Here is a 20859-nt window from a genome sequence, read left to right on the forward strand (position 1 = left end):
CAGCTCCAGCACCCGAGCGCCGAGGTCCGCGAGTGCGCCTGCGCAGGGCTGGCCCGGCTGGTGCAGCAGCGGCCGGCACTCCCGGGCCTGGCGCGACGAGACGCCGTGCGCCGCCTCGGGCCGCTGCTGCTAGACCCCAGCCTGGCCGTCAGGGAGACTGCAGCCGGCGCGCTGAGGTGAGCCAGGAAGGGTGCGGGGCGGTGCCCACCGCTGGCCTCCCCCGCGTCTGGGCTGCGGGCGGTCGCAGCGGTCACCCAGCGCCTTCTGTGTGCCATCAGGCACTGGCCCGGTCTCCCGTTTGCAGAGATTTGAAGCCAGTCTCCAGGCTCCGGAGAAGCCCAGTATCCCCGCATCTCATCTGTCCACCTGGCTGCTTCACCTGCAGCGTCCACCTGCTCAGGCGTCCTGCCCTCACGCCTTGCGCACGTTTTACACTCTCCAAAAGCCCTCCTTAGGGTCCCTTGCTTGGATGAACTCTTCAGTTCATGTGTCAGGAATCGTTCTAGATGCAGGGGACTTTGAGCAGCCAAGACTTTTGAGCGAGATCTGTTGACAGCCAAGATCCCTGTCTTGGCACAAGTCATGTTGATGGGGAGACAGACAGGAAGCTAGTAAAAAGGTAAAACATAATATTAAATAGTGAGAATTGCTGTGGGAAAACGAGATGATGATGAGTTGGGGGTGGGAAGTTTGAATTGGGTGCTCTTGGGCCGGGCGCGGTGGCACACACCTGTAATCCCATTGCTTTGGGAGGCCAAGGAAGGAGGATCACTGGAGGCCAGGAGTCCAAGGCCAACCTGGGCAACATAGCAAGACCCCGTCTGTAGAAAAATTATAAACAATTAGTCGGGCATGGTGGTGGGTGCCTGTAATCCCAGCTACTCAGGAGGCTGAGGTAGGAGAATCGCTTGAGCCCAGGAGTTCGAGGCTGCAGTGAGCTATGATCACACCACTGCACTCCAGCCTGGGTGATAGAACAAGACCCTGTCTCAAAAAAAAAAAAAGGTGCTCTTTAGATGACTTGTGAAAGGAGATGTGCAGGGTGAGAGAGCCAGGAGGCATGGGAAAATAGGGGGAAGAATATTCCCCACAAAGGGAGCAGCAACAGCAAAGAAGCGAAGCAGCAGGCAGCTTGACGTGGTTAAACAGCAGAGAGGGTAGGTAGGTGGCTGAGAAGAGCAGGGGTGGGTAATTACAGGAAGTGAGGCTGGAGAGAGGGATGAGCTGTACGATGGTGTAGGGCTGAGGACTTAACTCTAAGCAGGGAAGTGACATGCTGCAACACATTTTGTGAAGACCACTCTGCTGGTTGTGCAGAGAATGGACTGCAGAGGGGGCAAGAGTAGAGGTTAGTATTTGTAGTTCTTACAGCTCTGTCTCTGTTTGTTATTTATATTTCATTCACTGATATAGCAAATATGTATAAAGTGCCAACTGTGTGCCAGACACTGAGCTAAGCTGTGGGCATGGGGTAATGAGCAAGGCAATGTCTCTCCTTAAGAAATCTTAAAGTGTATTGAGGGAGACAAGCATTAACCAAACAGTTACATAAGTGTATGATTACAATGAATGGTAATGACAAAGGGTGCTAAAAGAGGGTACAAACAAAGGGTTCAGGGAAGAAGACTGAGTGAGTGGTGCTTGAGGTGAGCTCGGAGGAATGAATGGGCATTCACCAGTTGATGGAGGGGGGATAGACGCTCTTCTTCCTTTAGGGAGGAAACAGCATGTGGAAAGCCCTTCCCTTCCTCCCACAGCATACAGAGGCTGGGGGATCCTGGCACATTGTGAGGGCATCTTCTGACTATCTCCATATCCTTAGGGACTAGCACAGTGCTGTGTACTCGGAAGTCATGTCTTTCCAATTAAAATTTACCCAGGGCTGCTTTAGGGGGTGTCATTCTCAGTAGCCCCACCTTGCTGCCCTTGCAGTTCGCTTTTTATTTTATTTTATTTTTTTAGAAACGGGGTCTCCCGCTGTTCCTAGGCTGGTCTTGAATTCCTGAGCTCAATTGATCCTCCCACCTAGGCCTCTCAAAGTGCTGGGATTACAGGTGTGAGCCACAGCACCTAGCCCTGCCCTTGTAGTCTTGATTCCAAGAAAAGGTCCCTTCATACATGATGTGATTTATTCACATGAGAAAAGTCTCCCCTCTCCCCTTCTTGTAGCCATGCACCTGTATACTGTTTCAGACCTCAGAACTAAGTTATATGACAGCGTCGTCTGTTTATATCTTGTAGAACATGGATCAGAACAGATGGAAATCTCTGGATTGGTTCTGCAGCGTATGACAGAAACAATAAGCTATTTCCTCTGGGAAACCTTAAATATGGCTAAAAATAGAAATGTGAGAGGGTAGAAGTGTTCTGTGACATGTGATGTGAAAGTAAAACATGTTTTAAACTTCTTGTGTAGAAATCTCAGTGCTTGTGGAGGTTTTGAAGTTTGTGATGACATGGTGACTAAGGATATCATGACCCCTCTGGTTGCGCTGCTAAAAGAGGTATGCAGTTTTTACAGTATCTTGATGGTAGCTTTTGGGATGCAAACTTAGACTTTTTTTAGTACTTTGGTGTTGGTGACTTTGTCTTCTATCTAAACATCTTATGGAAATTTCATTCCTTTTCCTGGAAACACCAATCTGCTCTCATTATTGATACTAATCTCTATTATTTTGTAGCTTTATTTTTATGATAGTTGGAAAAGACTTTCCTAAAATTGTACAGACTCACTCCTTTAGATGTTAAACTTCTTACAATAAAAATAATTAGTATTTAGTCATTGCTTATTTATGTGCCAGGTATTATTTTCATGTTTTGGATATTATATAATTTAATCCTCACAGTATTCTATGAGGCAGGTATTATTCCCATTTTACAGATGACAAAGCCGAGGCACAGACATTAGGAACTTGTGAAGATTACAGTAAGTTCTCATGTTTGATCTCATTCCAGTCTTATTGCATGACATAGTCAAGAGGTTAAGGAGCTCTGTCTCTGGAGTGCCTCTGGTCCTCTATTCTGTACTGATGGGTAATTTTCACTTAAGGCTACATAAAGGATATCCAGTTTTGATGAGAGGCATCAGTCATTTTAGAGCAGTGATTCTCAACTGGGTATGATCTTGCTTCACAGGGCATAACTGGCAATGTCTGGAGACATTGGTTGTTACAGAGCTTGTGGGGTTTGCCACTGGCATCCAGTGGGTAGAGGCCAGGGATGCTGCTAAACATCCCCAAATGCACACGACAGCCCTTCCTTCCCCAACAAAGAATTTTCTGGTGGAGAATTTCAGTAGTACCTGGATTGAGAAGCCCTGCTTTAGAGGGTCTCCTGGGCTGTACTAGAGGGGCTTAAGAGCACCAGCTTTGGAGTCAAATGCTAGGGCCTGAATCCCAGCTTCACCACATGCTAATCTAACACCTTCAGCAGCCTCCCTGTACCTCACTTTCCCATTTGCAGCTGGAGATTGGGGATAATAATAGTTCACCTACCTCATAGGTTTATTGTGAGGATTAAATGACTTGATACATGTAAAATGCTTAGAATAGTACTTTAGAAGGCGCTATGTAATAAACAGAAGGTGCTAGGTAGAAGCTCTTATTTCATCTTTTGTTGCCTTCCTACTGTCTTTTATTACATTTATTAGGTAAAATACTTTGTATTGATTTTGTACTACTGTTTGTAAGGATTCGACTGGCTTGTTAACCACGGTAATTTCTGATGTCTAGCCTTTGTGTTTCATCACCATCATTACCCTATTTGTTTAATTCTTCTTAGGAACCAGGGTGCTAATCATGATATTTGGTTACAGTGTAGTGCTGGACTGGATTCAAATGAGATGTCTCTGCAGGAGAAAAAAGATCAGAACAGAAATTCTATTGAGAACATAGCCAATGAGACTGTGAACGTGCTGTGGAATATATGGTAAGATGCCTACCAAACACAGTCTCCTGCTATAGCAGTACCCAGGCTGCTATTCTCTGTTATACTGTGTAGGAATCTCTGTTCCCCTTGGTAGGCCTGTTAATCTGGGATGTTAAGACATGGTAGGGGCCGGACATGGTGGCTCATGCCTGTAATCCCAGCACTTTGGGAGGCCGAGGCGGGTGGATCACTTGAGGTCGGGAGTTTGAGACCAGCCTGGCCAACACTGTGAAACCCCGTCTCTACCAAAAATATTAAAAAATTAGCCGAGTGTGGTGGTACATGCCCATAATCCCAGCTACTCGGGAGGCTGAGGCAGGAGAATCGCTTGAACCCTGGAGGCAGAGCTTGCAGTGAGCCAAGATCGTGCCACTGCACTCCAGCCTGGGGGACAGGGCGAAATTCCTGTCTCAAAAAAAAAAAAGACTTGGTAAGAGGCAGGATCAAGTGACCTAAGATCAACCCTCCTTCCCAGTCCGTTTTCTTACTGCATCACTACATCTTTTGTTTTACGGCTTTCCTCTCCAGTCATTGCATCTGACAAAAGATAGGAGGAATCATGACCATTAGCACCTGTGGCTCCTCCTTTCCCCCGACTTCTTGTACACCCTGAGCAGAATTTGTCTTTAAGCTGGTCAGTCCCACATGCAGGTGCAGCTTTGGTTTGGCCTCTAGACTGAGATGGGGACCACAGACCTTGGCTGGTGCTTTTCTTTCTCTTTCCTGGCACTTACTGTCTGATTGGGAAGTAGATGCCTAAGAAGAGCTCCCTTGGCCCCAGGAGGAAGAAGGCCACTCTCCATTCTGTGATTGTAGCAGTGGTGAGGGTGGAGTGGACTTGCCGCTAGGAATGGAAATGGCTAGAAACACAACCTGGATTTACTTTTTTCTGCCCCATTTTATGTCCCACATTTCTAGCAAGACTCTGTCACAGTTTCTTATCTTCAGTCAGCAGCAATTACAGTGGCTGACCTAAAAGCACAGATGTTTCTTAGAATACAAGATTAAGTTGGATCCTGAAATGCCTACGTGGCAATCTGACCTTGCCTGTGATTTCATTTTAATGAATGCATTCCACCAGAAATATTAGAGAGATCAGATCTGAGGAAATGGCATTTGAGCAAAAACTGATGGGTGCTGTTTTTCTGTGCACCAGATAACTTTAAGTCATAGAAATTGTTGCATTTGGAAGTTTTTAAAAAATTTCCTTGAAAAGAATCTGAATATATCTCCAAGGTGATTTCTCTTTTCTGAATACCTATGAGCCCTGTCTGTATCACTGAGTTACTATAACTTTTAACATTTTTGTTTCATCATTTATATTTCAAATTATCTTTACACATATATGCCTTGTCTTCCTGACTAGACTGTGGGCTCCTTCATGCTGCCATAACTAGATAGGTAGGTAGGTAGGTAGATAGAAGATATGAAATATTTTTCATTACATAACAGATTTAGTTTAATAATTTAGTCAGCTCTGTTAGCGTGTCATGTGTGTATGTTATATGTATGGAGGAAACATGTACAACATGGATATTTCCTCTGGAAACATGGATACAATTATTACAATTAGCCTTGTTAACTCGTATTTAATGTGTTTGCTTATTCATAACACTGAAAGCTGAGTCTTTTATTAAAAGGTAGTATAATTTAAAAAATACTTATTGTAATTTCTCTATTGTAGACTGCAAATTCTGCTTGATGAAATTATAATTGCACTCTAAAAGGCTTGAATAAAATATAATTTTATTTTCCTTTAAATGTGTGTTTTTGTTAATGTTCTAAAATATAGTAGGTTAAAAAATAAAAAATAAATTTGTGTTTTTGTGTGATAAATATAGAGGCCTTTTATCCTCCTTTAACTTGTTATCATTGTGGTATGGAGGAAAGAAAAAACAGTAGCCTGGACCCAGGGAACCTAGGTACTGGGCCTGGCTCTACCACTAACAAAATGTGTGCTCTTTGATGGGCCACTTTACCACTTGGGGCCTGGGTCTTCACATTTATAAAATGGGGAGTTGAATTAAACGATTTACAAGATCTCTTCCAGCTCTAACCTTCTATAAGGAAACTGGCATCATGGCAAAGAGATTGATGAAAAGGTCCCATTGTGATAGAAATAAAATATAGATAGCCAGTTCTCATGTACAGTGAATGTGAATGGGTGTTAGTTCCTTCATCGATAAAAATGGTGGGTGTTTGATTCCAACTCCTTGGTTTATAAAGCCTCGTTTGTTTTTTTATGGATTGCTATGGTTGATTTCCTACTGTTAAAATGTGAATAGTAAAACTTTTTTTTCCCCCTTCAATTTAGTGAATGCAGTAGTAGAGCAGTGTCTATATTCAACAAAGAAGGGTGTTTGGAGATTGTGTTAAAGTATTTAAGTAGGTTTCCTACCAATGTTGACCTGGCTATTTCAGTAGGTAAGTGAAGAAAAGGTGATGACTTATTAAGAATGTGTAGCCTTATTCAAAAATTTTTATGCAGCTTTGGCGTGTTTATTCCACTGGAGTGATTTTTTGTTTCGTTGTATGTGAATGTGTAGCTCAGCACCTGTTTTTTCTGGGTCTTAAATCTGTGATTAATATTAATTCTTTACCTACTCATTCAGTTTTTCTGCTTTTGACTCTGAAAGGGAGAAAGGTAATTATGTGAGGATATGTGGTTTCTAGCCTGTTTCCATTCTTAGCAGCCTTTATTAATTCTTGAAGTTTTCATCTCCATTTACTAAGAAACAGTAACGCACAACTACCAGGCCTTTAAGCCAGTTAATTGGAATCTAAACTTATTTAAATGTATTGTGCTACTATCTCATACGTCCAGCAGAAAACTGACGGCCTGAGTTTTGTTGAGAGAAAAAGAGGAAAAGAAATGATTGAAATTCCACTTAGGCCTTCATGCCTTCCATGAGACAGGGAAGGCAAAGTCCAGCAACTTCAGTGGCTTTGGCTGCCTCGCCTTCTCTTTATTGGGCTGGGGAACCACTGGGGACCCTCAGCTCAGTGGCAGGAGGCAGAAGTCAGAGCATAGGCAACTCAGCAGAATTCTGGGTGGGAGTGGAGAAACAATTGAGGGAGAGCATTTCTTTTCTACCGATCATTACTGCGGGCATCCAGCTGTCCCTTTGTGGAACTGCATTTCTCCTGGGGAGGAAGAAGTGTATTCCCCTGACTGCTGTTTTTCTTGACTCTAATGGATATTTTTAAGAGAACAGAATTGAGGGAAAATAGTAGAATAAATACTACTGAGAAAATTTTAAAAATCATTTCTCTAAATGGAATCTTGGTGGGGCTGGAGAGTTGTGAGTAAATGGGGATTTTAAAAACGATTCAGCCATTTTTAGGAAATTGATAGGTGACTTAATCTCAGAGGACAGTTTTTGTTACAATAAGAGAACTTCAGGAAAGTTAGTTCATATCTTTTACAAGAAAAATCACTTCTATTTTTGTGCCTTTAGTCTTATAGATTTATTTCTGTTTTTAGTTTTTCTTCCCCTTAATGAGCGTTTTTGAAATGGATTAGAATAGTCATTTTGCATTGTATAATAGTGTTTTCCTTCTCCATGTAGCTAGATTAATGATTTTTTAAAATACATTATTACTTTTGCTTCTAAAGTCAAGCAATGCTTACATATAGTAAAATGAACTTATAAGATTCCATCCCATGTATTCATATAACTTTTTTTGAACCTGTATGGTAGCAGTCATGGCTGTTGGCTAAAGTAAATTTAATTAGTTTCTTAATGACAAAGATATTACATTTGGATATATGTACAGAAATGCATATATGTGGATTTCCATATAAATGTATCATCAACCACAGCAGTAGCATGCATTTTGAGTAATTTTGATGGGCATGATTTAATATTTTACACATCTCTTAATTTGCTCATACTTTTATATAAACTACTTTTTTTCTTAAAGAGCTATTGCTCTGCCAGAAATAACCCTAACTTTGAAGGTCATGATAAATTTAAAGGAAGCCAGACGTCCCAAAACCTAAGGCTGTTTGCTACTGGTCCTTGATAAGTACATAAATTGAGGGTAAAATTTTTTTTTTTTTTTTGAGATGGAGTCTCAGCTCTGTCACCCAGGCTGGAGTGCAGTGGCGCAATCTCGACTTACTACAACCTCCGCCTCCCGGGTTCAAGCTATCCTCTTGCCTCAGCCTCCCAAGTAGCTGGGATTACAGGCGTGCATCACCATGCCTAGCTAATTTTTGTGTTTTCAGTAGAGATGGGGTTTTGCCATGCTGGCCAGGCTGGTCTGCAACTCCTGACCTCAAGTGATCCTCCTGCCTCAGCCTCCCAAAGTGCTGGGATTACGGGCATGAGCCACCGCACCCGGCCTGAGGATAAACTTTTATAAACATTTATAGTAACGACATTGCCGCATTTAAGAGTCTTTTTAGGCTGGGCGTGGTAGCTCACACCTGTAATCCCAGCACTTTGGGAGGCTGAGGCGGGCGGATCACAAGGTCAGGAGATCGAGACCATCCTGGCTGACAAGGTGAAGCCCCATCTCTACTAAAAATACAACAAATTAGCCAAGCATGGTGGCGGGTGCCTGTAGTCCCAGCTACTCGGGAGCCTGAGGCAGGAGAATGGTGTGAACCCAGGAGGCGGAGCTTGCAGTGAGCCAAGATTGTGCCACTGCACTCTAGCCTGGGCGACAGAGCGAGACTCCATCTCAAAAAAAAAATAAAAGAGTCTTTTTAATTGTATTTTGTAAAAAGTGTAGATCTGGCTGGGCATGGTGGCTCATGCCTGTAATCCCAGCACTTTGAAGGGCCGAAACGGACAGATCACTTGAGACCAGGAGTTCCAGACCAGCCTGGCTTTCATGGTGAAACCCTGTCTCTACTAAAAATATAGAAATTAGCCAGGCATCATGGCGCATACCTTTAATTCCAGTTACCTGAGAGACTGAGGCACAGGAATCGTTTGAACCTGGGAGGCAGAGGTTGTAGTGAGCTGAGATGCGCCACTGCATTCCAGCCTGGGTGACAGAGCAAGACTGTCTCAAAAAAAAAAAAAAAAAGTATAGATCTGTACAGGATTAGAAATTTAAAAAGAAAAGAAACATGATCTTTTCCAGCACTGATAGTTTGGGAAGCCTCATTTGCGCATATCACCCTGAGATAAAGCATATATATTTTGCAAAACCTACATGTGTCTAATGAAGTGGTAATGATACAATGTTTTATTGATGAGTTATACTGGTGTAAATTATCCAAAGCAGAATTCATTTGTTTCTAAATACTTATTTTTTGCCTCGTAGCATATTGTTTGCAGACAGTGACTGAGGATAACCCAGAGCTGCTGAAGTCTTTCAGTGCTACAGCATTGAACATGCTGGAATCAGCACTGCTTTCTCCTGTCAGTTCCATGGAATCTCTTCTATTGAAGACATTGGTAGCAGGTAAAATTTAGCCTTACGGCATAGTATATTGTTTCAGTAGCTTTTGGTATGGATGTGGTGGGGGCAAAATTTAGTCATTCATTTCAACACATTAGGTCTTCTGTGCTTTTATCTGTTCTGAAAATTTTAATATCTGAGAAGAGACCCTTACTTCAAGCAGTTGTCTATAGTTGTAAATCCTTGTAGAATAGATTTGTTTCGAATTTAACAAACTACTGTTAACCTGATAAAGAGATGCTGTTGTCAGGATCCCCACTTATTTATGAACCAGTGATTTCAGAAATTGACCACTTAGTTTTCCATAAGTTTTTTTTTTTTTAACCACCAACTCTTTTCTCTGCAGAATGTCTGAATACAGAAGTAAGAAATTATCTGAAGGTCTGTTTAGTATGTACTTTATTTAGTTTATGTATCTATTTTCTTCTTGCCCTTTGTCTTGCAGAGATAATTTATGTTGAGAGATTTTTTTTTTACTTTTTTACTTTTTTTATTTTTTATTGTTTTGAGATGGAGTCTGGCTCTTTCACCCAGGCTGGAGTGCGGTGGCTGGCTCTGCAGCCTCACCTCCCAGGTTCAAGTGATTCTCATGCCTCAGCCTCCCAAGTAGCTGGAATTACAAGCGTGCGCCACCACGCTCAGCTAATTTCTGTATTTTTGGTAGAGACGGGGTTTTACCATGTTGGCCAGGCTGGTCTTGAGCTCGGGACCTCAGGTGATTTGCCCACCTTGACCTCCTAAAGTGCTGGGATTACAGGTATGAGCCACTGCGCCTGGCCTGTTTTTTTATTTTAATAGTGGAAAAATACACATGAAATTTACCGTCTTAATCGTTTTGGGTTTTTTTGAGACAGAGTCCTCCTCTGTTGCCCAGGCAGGAGTGCTGTGGTGCAATCTTGGCTCACTGCAGCCTCCACCTCCTGGGCTCAAGTGATCTTCCCATCTCAGCCTCCCAAGTAGCTGGGACTACAGGTGCATGCCACCAGGACCAGTTAATTTTTTTTTTTTTGAGACGGACTCTTGCTCTGTCACCCAGGCTGGAACGCAGTGGTGCGAGCTCAGCTTACTGCAATCTCTGCCTCCTGAGTTCAAGCGATCCTCCTGCCTCAGTCTCCTGAATAGTTGGCATTACAGGCACCCACCACCACACCTGGCTATTTTTTTTTTTTTTTTTTTTGGAGACTGAGTCTCGCTCTGCCGCCCAGGCTGGAGTGCGTGGCGCGATCTCCACTCACTGCAAGCTCCGCTTCCCAGGTTCACGCCATTCTCCTGCCTCAGCCTCCCGAGTAGCTGGGACTACAGGTGCCTGCCACCACGCCCAGCTAATTTTTTGTATTTTTTTTTTTTAGTAAAGACGGGGTTTCACTGTGTTAGCCAGGATGGTCTTGATCTCCTGACCTTGTGATCCGCCCGCCTTGGCCTCCCAAAGTGCTGGGATCACAGGCGTGAGCCACCGCGCCTGGCCTAATTTTTTTATTTTTTTAGTAGAGACGAGGTTTCACCATGTTGACCAGGCTGGTCTCGAACTCCTGACCTAAAGTGATTGGCCCATCTCGACCTCCCTGTGCTGGGATTACAGGCGTGAGCCACAGTCCCCAGCCACAGTTAATTTTTTGTATTTTTTTTTGTAGAGATGGCATCTCACCATGTTCCCTAGGCTGGTGTCAAACTCCTGAGCTCTTGTAATCTGCCCACCTTGGCCTCCCAAAGTGCTGGAATTACAGGCGTGAGCCACAGCACCCAGCCTTTAATTGTTTTTAAATGTATACTTTAGTGGTGTAAAGTACATTCAGATTGTTGTGCAGTAAAAATCCGGAACTCTTTTTCATCTTGCAAAACTGAAACTGTACCCTTTAAACACAATTTTTCCCATTTCCCCTTCCCCCAGCTGCTGTCAGCCACCATTCCTTGACTCCTCTAAACACCTCATAGAAGTGGAATCATACAGAATTTGTCTTTCTGTGACTGGCTTATTTCTTTTTGCATAGTGGCCTCAAGGTTCATCCATGTTGTAGCATGTGTCAGAAATTCCTTCCTTTTTAATGCTGAATAATATTGCCTTGTAGGTATTATACCACATTTTGTTGATCTCTTCATCTGTTGATGGACACTTGGGTTACTTCTACAACTTGGATATTGTGAATACGGCTGCTGTGAAAATGGATGTAATTTTTTTTTTTTTTTTTGAAACAGAGTCTTGCTCTGTCACCCAGGCTGGAGTGCAGTGGCAAGATCTCGGCTCACTGCAACCTCTGCCTCCTGGGTTCAAGTGATTCTCATGCCTCAGCCTCCCAAGTAGCTGGGATTACAAGCGCCCACCACCACGCCTGGCTGATTTTTGTATTTTTAGTAGAGATGAGGTTTCACCATGTTGCCCAGGCTTGTCTCGAACTCCTGACCTCGAGTGATCCTCCCACCTTGGCCTCCCAAAGTGTTGGGATTACAGGGTGAGACACTGCACCTGGCAAAAATGAATGTAATCTGTTCAAGTCCCTGCTTTCAGTTCTTTTGGGTTTATAGTCAGGAGGTGTTTTTATTTTTGTAGTAACTTAAAAAAAAATTACTCTGACTACTTAATGATAGCTCCTGTTCTTTTTTGATAATCAAAAAATTAAGAACCTACTCTCATGTTTATATGTCAGACCAACCTTGGAATTTTAGTGCATTCCATTTCACTCTTGGAATATAAGAAGCTGCTGAGGAGAGCAGCTTAGGTTACAATGAAAGAAAGTGATGCCACTCACTTTGTCATTTTAAAAGAAACTTGATCAGTGTTCTCTGGGTCTGCTGATAATGCAGTGTATCAGAGAAAGGCATTGTGTGCCAAGGAAGGGAGATGATTGTGCAGGGTTATAACTAAGGGCACTGCCTCAGTGCAGAACTCATTGATATTTAATAAATAATGAACAAAGGCAGTAGGGCTGAGATTTTTTGAAATTACACTGGCCTTAAAAGCTCCAGTCTTGTGAAAACTTAAACTTAGTAAAATATTTCACAGGCATTTCTTATCCTTATGCTTGTTTTTTTCCCAGGCACAATTTGGAATCTAAAGGACATTATTCCATGCAAGAGTCAAGCAGAAATCATAAATGCCTTACTAAAGATCTTATCTGAAGTTTTGGGAATGGATGCTGGTGAAATGGTTATTCAAATGAAAGAGGCTGAAACGCAAAGGTTAAAAACTGCTGCAGAGGCTGAGGAAATATTAGAGAACACTAATGGGGATGATTTGATTGAAGATGATGAAATGGAAGGAATTTCTCATAAAAGAAGAGTCAGAAGGAAAACTTTCGTTTCAGATTTACTTCCGGTAAGTCAGGTTGCTGTTCTCAAATATGGATTAATACAGCTGTTTTTTTTTTCCAGCAGTTATCCTTGGCTTTGCAGAAAAATGTTATAGCAAAATTAGCTATAAAGTGCGTTTTGGTAAAAATGAGTCATATTTTCCTGTTGATTCTCTTTATGTCATTAAAAATCTCCTAAAGGGGGAAAAAAATCTCTTGTCTAAAGTGAATCGTTTTATATGCAGGAGAAGGTTTCAGAGATGGGATAGACCTATCCTTTTGGAACACTTTAGAAATAGATGATCACCTTCGTAACTCTTGCTTCTCCCCACTTCTGTTACATACTGTCTGCCAGACTGTCTTCAAACTAAAGGAATTTGTACTTTGCCTGAATTGTCCCTTGCATTCTTGCCTCTTATTTTAGTATGTAGCCTTATCAAGGTGGCAAACCAAACCTTCATTTATCCAGTACTGATCCAAAGAGGTTGGGTGACTGTGAGATGAATGATGGTTTGTAGTTTTCTTGGAGTCGGTGATGGTGGCATACTTGTGCTGGTGGTGTGATATTGCAGTAAAGGGGAACAATCTTGGGTGCAGGAAGCATTTCAGCTGACACAGTCTGCAGAGAGAGAAAGTTCTCCCAAAGTGTTTTGGGAGAACACTTTGTTAAGGAGGAGAGCAAATAGGAAGACGGGGCACAGTGAGTGAGGCTTTATTCATTCAGGTTCACATTTACTGTGCTCCTAATGTATGCCAGGCACTGTGCTAGACGCTGGTGATAAAAAGATGATTAAGATGTAATTTCCAGCCTTCAGGAACTTCCTCCATGTTGGGAAGACAGACACATAAAACCATGGCTCTAAGGCCTACGCTGAGAACAGTGCCGTGGCCATGCACAGATTTCTAAGAAAATAGTATCTGTGGAGTAAGCCCTTGTGACTCAGCCCCTGTGGGAGAGCTAGGGAAGAGGCTGCCAGAGAGAGCCGTTTAGACAGAACACCTGGGGCGTCATAAAGGAGGGGGTGAGAAAAAGCAGGTTAGTGTTTGGAGAGATCACTCAGGCAGCTGGAGGAAGGGAGAGCACAGGGGCCTGGCAGCAGGAGGACCAGTCAGGAGGCTGCCGAAGGACGATGAAGGCTGAGTTGGAAGGAGGCAATCATGTCCTCTCATGCTTACCTGTGTTCGTGATGTCTCGGGAAGCGTAAATTGATGGTGTTTCAAAGAAATCAAAATGTGGATAGAACCACTTTTCCCCTCATATGAGCAAACTGTGGGTGCAAACCACTGTGTTAAGTGCTGGGACAAATAACAGAAATGGGAAGGCCACCCTGAACTTGAGTTGCTCACAGATTTTTTTTTTTTTTTTTGAGACAGTTTTGCTTTTGTTGCCCAAACTGCAGTGCAATGGTGTGATCTCGGCTCACTGCAACCTCCTCCTCCCAGGTTCGAGCAATTCTCCTGCCTTAGCCTCCCAAGTAGCTGGGATTACAGGCATGTGTCACCACACCCGGCCAACTTGGCATTTTTAGTAGAGATGGGGTTTCTCCATGTTGGTCAGGCTGGTCTCAAACTCCCGACCTCAGGTGTCTGCCCGCCTTGGCCTCCCAAAGTGCTGGGATTACAGGGGTAAGCCACTGCGCCCAGCCTAGATCTTTTTATTTTATTACTATTGGTTTATTTTGAGACGAGATCTCACTATGCTGTCTGGTCTCAAGCGATCTTCCCACCTCGGCCTCTCAAAGTGCTGGGATTATAGGCGTGCACCATGGTACCCAACCTGTTTCATACCTGTGCATGGAAAGAGGGGATGTGATAAATCAGGGCTTATGGGGTCATTTTCAGCTGTGGGCACCATCCTACTCAGGTTTCTGTTGATCCTATCTGATATACTGTGTTTGAAGGATCTGAAATCCCTTGCTGGGAATGAGAGAATGGCATTCTTGTGTGATTGTCCCCACCTCCAGCCTTGCTTCCAAGGACCTTCTACAGGGAGTAAGGTTGGGGGTGAGACCCAAGTCTAACAAGGTTTAGATAGAAGTGCCACTGTTGAAAAACGATTGATATTTAACTGATATGTAGAAATTTATTTTCTTATTACTTTTATTTTGGTGCTTGTAAAAATGCAGTGTTTTCTTATAGTAAAAACTGGCTTTTTAAAGTCTTCTGGCCAGGTGTGGTGGCTCACGCCTATAATCCTAGCACTTTGGGAGGCTGAGGTGGGCAAATTGCCTGAGTCCAGGAGTTCAAGACCAGCCTGACCAATATGGTGAAACCCCATCTCTACTAAAAATACAAAAATTAGGTAGGTGTGGTGGCATGTGCCTGTAGTCCCAGCCACTCAACTTGGAAGGCTGAGGCACAAGAATCACTTGAATCTGGGAGGTGGAGGTTGCAGTGAGTCAAGATCGCGCCACTGCACTCCAGCCTGGGCAACTGAGCGAGACTCTGTTTCAGAAAAATAAAACTAAATACAAATAGAAATAAAGTCTTCCTTAAGATTGTAGTGGTGGGCGGTGGTGGGGCGGGGGGTAGAGGAGAAAAAAAAGAAGAAAAGGAGAATAAAGTGTTCTTAACATAACTGACTAGACTGGATGATTAACATGCTAGTCGGTCAGCCAGCCAGTGTTTAAGTGCCAGTAGGATGCCAGGAACACAAATTATATTCAGCTGTGGTCTTCCACACTATCCAGTGTCTTCTGCAGCACTCCTTTAGAATCAAAACTGCATCATTTAACTTAAGAAGGTATAACCACAAAGATATAAAGGAAGAGCAGTTCAACCCAAGTTGGTTTTTTTGTGGGGGCACATGCAAAAGTAGAGTACTCTCTGCCCAGCTTCTACAGTTACCAATTTTCAAAGTCTGGTCTATTTGATTTCATCTAGTTCCCGTCACGCTGTCTTTTCTGTACTGATTATTTTGAAGCAAATCTCAGATGTCATAACATTTCGTCTAAATTGGTTCTTTATGTCAGCTTGATAGCAGTAAGAAGCAGAGAAAAGTTCTGAGCAAGAGAGTTACATAAAGAGGTGGAGCTTAATTTCAGAGTTCCTTTTAAGCCAGATCTTCGGCTGGGCATGGTGGCTCACGCCTGTAATCCCAGCACTTGGGGAGGCCAGGGTGGGTGGATCACTTGAAGCCAGGAGTTCAAGACCTGCCTGGCCAATATGGTGAAACCCTGTCTCTACTAAAAAGGCAAAAAATTAGCCGAGAATGGTGGTGCATGCCTGTAGTTCCAGCTACTCGGGAGGCTGAGACATGAGAATCGCTTGAACCCAGGAGGCGGAGATTGCAGTGAGCCGAGATCATGCCACTGCACTCCAGCCTGAGTGACAGAGCAAGACTCTGTCTCCAAAAAAAAAGAATAAAAAAGAATAAGCCAGATTTTCGTATATTTTAAGTGAATGAGAGCCCAGCAGCAACATGTCTTGTTTAGCTTTGAATCTCCTCTAATAAATGTATATTTAGTTGAATTAGCACACACACAAAGCAAATAGAAATGATTTTTATATAGGTTCTTGCTACCAATAAGTAGAATTCAAATTTAGGGATCCCTGAGCTACGTCTATTGAATTAGCAATTTGCTTTTTTTTTTTTTAAGAATATGCTTAGAAGTTACAGTTAAATTGTTGCACAAAGAAGCCACTGGGGCTGGACATGGTGCTCATGCCTGTAATCTCAACACTTTTGGGAGGCTGAGGTGGGAGGATTACTTGAGGTCAGGATTTCAAGACCAGCTTGGGCAATATACTGAGACCCCATCTCTCAAAAAAAAAAAAAAAAGCAGGTAAATTTTTTTTCTTTTTCTTTTTCTTTTTTTCTTTTTTTTTGAGATGGAGTCTCACTCTGTTGCACAGTGGTACAATCTCGGCTCACTGCAACCTCTGCCTCCTGGGTTCAAGGGATTCTCCTGCCTTGGCCTCCCAAGTAGCTGGGATTACAGGCATGCACCGCCATGCCTGGCTAAGACCTTGTCTCTACAAAAATTAAAAAAATTAGCCAGGCATGGTGGCATGCACCTGTAGCCCTAGCTACTCAGAGGCTGCGGCAAGAGGATTGCTTGAGTCCAGGAATTTGAGGCTGCAGTGAGCTATGAACGTGCCACTGCACTCCAGCCTAGGCAACAGAGTGAGACTCTGTCTCTAAGGGGGAAAAAAAAAGACAATTGAAAACTGAAGTTTGGAAATATTCAAATAGTAAAATATACATTATTTTTAGCTCATGTACTGTTTTGGAATATCAGTATGGTTATTTCACTTTCCATAGACAATTTGATAATTAAGGTTATATAAATTTATATTACCCATTTTAAGAAATGTTGGTTGATAATGTTAAGTTTAAGTTGGCGTTATATATTTTCAGAGAAAAAAAAAGCTTCCTTCTTTCTTTAGTCTTAGAGAAATGCTTTATTATAGTCTTTACAGAAAGGCAGGAAGCAAGTCTGTCTGCTCCATAGCAAGTTCTACAGGTCACATAAGGGCTCGTTAGTAGTGTGTGTTAGCGCAGCCATTCCAAGAAAGACATCTAAGCTAAGCATCTAAAAGCAGGTTTGGTGTTTCTAAGTGCCTGGTGTCTGAAATGAACTCTTGTTTAAATCTTAGTATGCCCAGCTACTTCTTGACACAGTAGATAAGTTTCAGGGTGAATTCTGTTCAGAATTCCTGAATATTTGTCTGTTCTCTCCAGCTAACTAAGTGACGCTTGGGGAATAGCCATGCAGATAGATGGAAACCCAGTTAACGGGGGCATGCTCCACTGTACCAAGAGGAATTATAATGCTCGTTTGTACTTCTGGCACTTCATGACTTTTCTTTTACCTACCCCATTCCCCGTGTGCTCTATTCCAAGCGCAAAAATCTTCTAGTAGGCTTTCACTAAGGAAATTCCCCAAAAACATTTTCCCAACCATTGAGAGTTGGTCATTTACTTTTTTTTTTTTTTTTAAGCCCACTGACAAGGAACTGAGAGAGACTATAGCATTGCTGACAGCCCAACAGACTGCTCTGGAAATTATTGTCAACATGTGCTGCAATGAAGGTTTGTTAACATTTACATTTAGACATTTTCCCCCTGAGCCAAGAGGGAAACTCCCGTGGAGATTTTCTTAACTATTCCAGTTCTGCGTGGTTTGCCCGCTTCCCAGATCCCTCTGATGACGAATGGGAAGAGCTTTCTAGCAGTGATGAAAGTGACGCATTTATGGAGAATTCCTTCAGTGAGTGCGGGGGACAGCTGTTTTCTCCCCTCTGCCTCTCCCATGAAGTTCACACGGCTCTCACCAACTACCTCATCCCAAAGAAGGTAATCCATTTTCATTCTAGGCTTACCGTGGAGCATGGGAAAGGCTTAAGCAAGGTATTCATTTTGTGTACAAAAGAAGCAAGCTCACACTTCCAGGTTGTAGATGGTGGTAAGATCTGAGACAAAGCTGAGCCTAACAGTACTGGAAATAGGCGAAAAGGTCATTCTATATGAAGCCTAACCATTTCACTTAGGAGTAATATGTTGGAATTATGTAAGGGAATCGTGTTAAATGACTACTCTTTAACCTTTGCTTTACTGCCTCTTTTAAATCTAGATTTTTGAGAAAACTGCCTTTCCAAACAGCATTGCAGTTGACCTATGTTCTAGGAACCCTACTTGGAAACCTTTGATTAGAAAGTAAGAACTCTTCTGCTTTCAAAAACATTTGTCATTATTTTATTTTATGAAATGATGGGCTATTAAATAGAAGGTGCTGACTCCCCCTAGGACCCAGAAGTTTTGTTCCTGGGTATATATACCAGAAAAATATGTGCCCACATGCCCTAGAATACATGTATATGAGAGTGTTCATAGCAGTGTGTGTCACAGTTGCCCCAACCCATAAACAAACGTGTTGTCCATCAGAGTTAGAATGGTAAATAAATTTTGACAAAATCACGCAGTACAATACATGCAGCAGTAAAAGGGATCTGAATTAGAGCTACTCACAACTCGGATGGAACTTACATTGTTGAACCAAAAAAGCGAGACATAAAAGAATACACACACTGTGATTCAGTTTTTACAAAGTTGAGAAACAGGCAACATTGAACTATTTTGTTCAGGGATGCATACCTTGGTGATAAACCTATTAAAAAAAAAAAGAGGCAAGGAAATGTTTACCATAGAAGTCTGTATGGTGCTTACCTGTAGGTGTCAGGGAGGTGGGATATTATATGGAAGAGATACAGGGGCTTTCAGGGTCCAGCAGTGTTAATTTCTTTCCCAGGTGCATGGGTTTTGGTTTCATAGACTGTTTGTTAAACTCTCTATGTATGTTGTGTACTTAACTGTATATATGTCACATTTCACAATTAAAAATAATTTTAGGCTGGGCATGGTGGCTCACACCTATAATCCCAGGACTCTGGGAGGCCAAGGTAGGAGGATCACTTGAGGCCAGGAGTTTGAAACCAGCCTGGGCAGCATAGCAAGACCCCATCTCTACAAAGGAAAAAAAAATACAAAAATTAGCCTGGCATAGTGGCACTCAGCTGTAGTCCTAGCTACTTAGGAGGCTGAAGTGGGAGGATTGCTTGAGCTCAGCAGTCTAAGGCTGTAGTGAGCTATGATGGTGACACTGTACTCCAGCCTGGGAAACAGAATGAGACCCTGTCTGAAGAAAATTATAATTTTAAGGATGCTACCCTACATAGAAATTTTTCTAAAACATATTCCTCATGACTCATGAATGAGTTGTGTATCAGAGGCCGTGAATATTCAAGCAGTTTGATTTGGCAGATTAACAGTTCACCTTATAATTCTAGCACTTTGGAAGGTACAGGCAGGAGGATTGTTTGAGGCCAAGAGTTCCAGAGCAGCCTGGGCAACATAGCAAGACCCCTATCTACAAAAAATAAAAAACTTAGCCAGGTGTGGTTGCATGCACATGTAATCCTGCTCCTTAGGAGGCTGAGGCAGGAGGATCACTTGTGCTCAGGAGGTTGAGGCTACAGCGAGCTGTGATCACACCACTGCACTCCAGCCTGGGCAACAGAGTAAGACCCTGTCTAAAAAATGATGATAAATTTTAGAAAACACAAAAAACAGTTCACCTTGTGATTCTTTGCTAACTGCCATAGATACCTTGTATTTACAGATATTTCCAGTCAGAACGTGAAGCTTAGGCTAAAAGTTAATACTGAATTCTGATGGGCAACTTCTGGAGAATCAGATGGCATTGTTTCACTTCCTTTCCAGAATGAACACTATTCAGTGCAGAGCCCTCTTCTGTCTCCAGAGTCTTGTGTCCCTCCTGGATGTGGAGCACCTGGGAGGAGCCGCAGCCCTTCAGACGCTTGCACAGCATCTGTCACAGCTGCTTTTTTCTCAACCAGGTATTTAGACTTTATTGCGAAAGACTACGCAGACGGAACAGAATTTTGAAGGGGCAGGAATTTGGATTTTGTAAATGTATATTGTTTGTCATCCAATGTGCAGAAACCTTTCCCAGACACAGGAATCATGTATTTATAGTTGCCATGGGGTACAGAGTCAAAACGAGGTATGCAAGCAGCTCCTGGGCTTATAATTTTCTTTTTTGTTAAAATTGTTTGCATCCAGTTATATCAGGCCAGTCAAGGCTGTATCATAAATATCATAAAGGCCTCATTAAGGTATTTGGATAATTCTCAGCCAAGCACGGTGGCTCATGCCTGTAGTCCCAGCACTTTGGGAGGCCGAGGCGGGAGGATCACCTCAGGTCAGGAGTTGGAGACCAGCCTGGCCAACATGATGAAACCGCTCTACTAAAATACAAAACTTTAACTGGGCGTGGTGGTGGAGATGCCTGTAATCCCAGCTACTCGGGAGGCTGAGGCAGGAGAATCGCTTGAACCCAGGAGGTGGGGATTGCAGTGATCTGAGGTTGTGCCATTGCACTCCAGCCTGGGCAACAAGAGCAAAACTCCATCTCAAAATAATAATAATAATAATTGAGTACTATTCTATTATTTTCTTCCCAGTTACAAGCATTTAAGTTTGATTAATATATGTATGTAGTACAGAATTCAAAAGTTATTAGAGGACAGAAACTGGAAAGCCTCCCTCCTTTCTCCGACACCCAGTTCCTCTCCCAGAGTCAAGTTACTGTTGCACCAGTTACTTGTGTATCCTTCCAGAGAGATTCTCCATGTATAAGAGAGCGTGTGTATGCGGGCATGCGTGCGTGTGTGTAAGGCAAATGGTAGAATACCATCCACACAATTC

The 20859-nt window shown here is 42.8% G+C and overlaps 1 protein-coding gene across 6 annotated transcripts in view, besides 2 other annotated features; it reads left to right on the forward strand.

Annotated features, from left to right (window-relative positions):
* Window positions 1–20859, forward strand: part of HEATR3 (HEAT repeat containing 3) — a 41303-nt gene that overhangs the window by 394 nt on the left and 20050 nt on the right. Inside the window, exons 2-12 of one of the 6 annotated variants that reach the window (NR_138092.2) lie at window positions 4–176; window positions 2417–2504; window positions 3815–3927; window positions 6242–6351; window positions 9208–9348; window positions 11539–11792; window positions 12378–12655; window positions 17574–17664; window positions 17745–17928; window positions 18206–18288; window positions 19852–19988. Coding sequence is in view for 4 of the 6 variants with exons in the window: in NM_182922.4 (NP_891552.1) it covers window positions 4–176; window positions 2417–2504; window positions 3815–3927; window positions 6242–6351; window positions 9208–9348; window positions 12378–12655; window positions 17574–17664; window positions 17771–17928; window positions 18206–18288; window positions 19852–19988 (1372 nt within the window). In the remaining 2 variants the exon portion in view is untranslated. Of the gene's footprint in view, window positions 1–3; window positions 177–278; window positions 620–2416; window positions 2505–3814; window positions 3928–6241; window positions 6352–9207; window positions 9349–11538; window positions 11793–12377; window positions 12656–17573; window positions 17665–17744; window positions 17929–18205; window positions 18289–19851; window positions 19989–20859 lie in introns of all 6 variants that reach the window. The other 5 variants (NM_001329729.2, NM_001329730.2, NM_182922.4 and 2 more) reach the window with 5 other exon arrangements.
* Window positions 70–329: a silencer, noted in NCBI's record as "silent region_7469". NCBI's record gives its function as "represses an Ori minimal core promoter by ATAC-STARR-seq in GM12878 lymphoblastoid cells {active_cell/tissue: GM12878}" and the evidence as "EXISTENCE:reporter gene assay evidence [ECO:0000049][PMID:35858748]".
* Window positions 13502–13702: a silencer, noted in NCBI's record as "peak2588 fragment used in MPRA reporter construct". NCBI's record gives its function as "represses an SCP1 promoter by STARR-seq MPRAs in K562 erythroleukemia cells {active_cell/tissue: K562}" and the evidence as "EXISTENCE:reporter gene assay evidence [ECO:0000049][PMID:32103011]".

The sequence above is a fragment of the Homo sapiens genome, chromosome 16 (genome assembly GCF_000001405.40).
Source record: "Homo sapiens chromosome 16, GRCh38.p14 Primary Assembly".
NCBI classification, from domain to species: domain Eukaryota; kingdom Metazoa; phylum Chordata; class Mammalia; order Primates; family Hominidae; genus Homo; species Homo sapiens.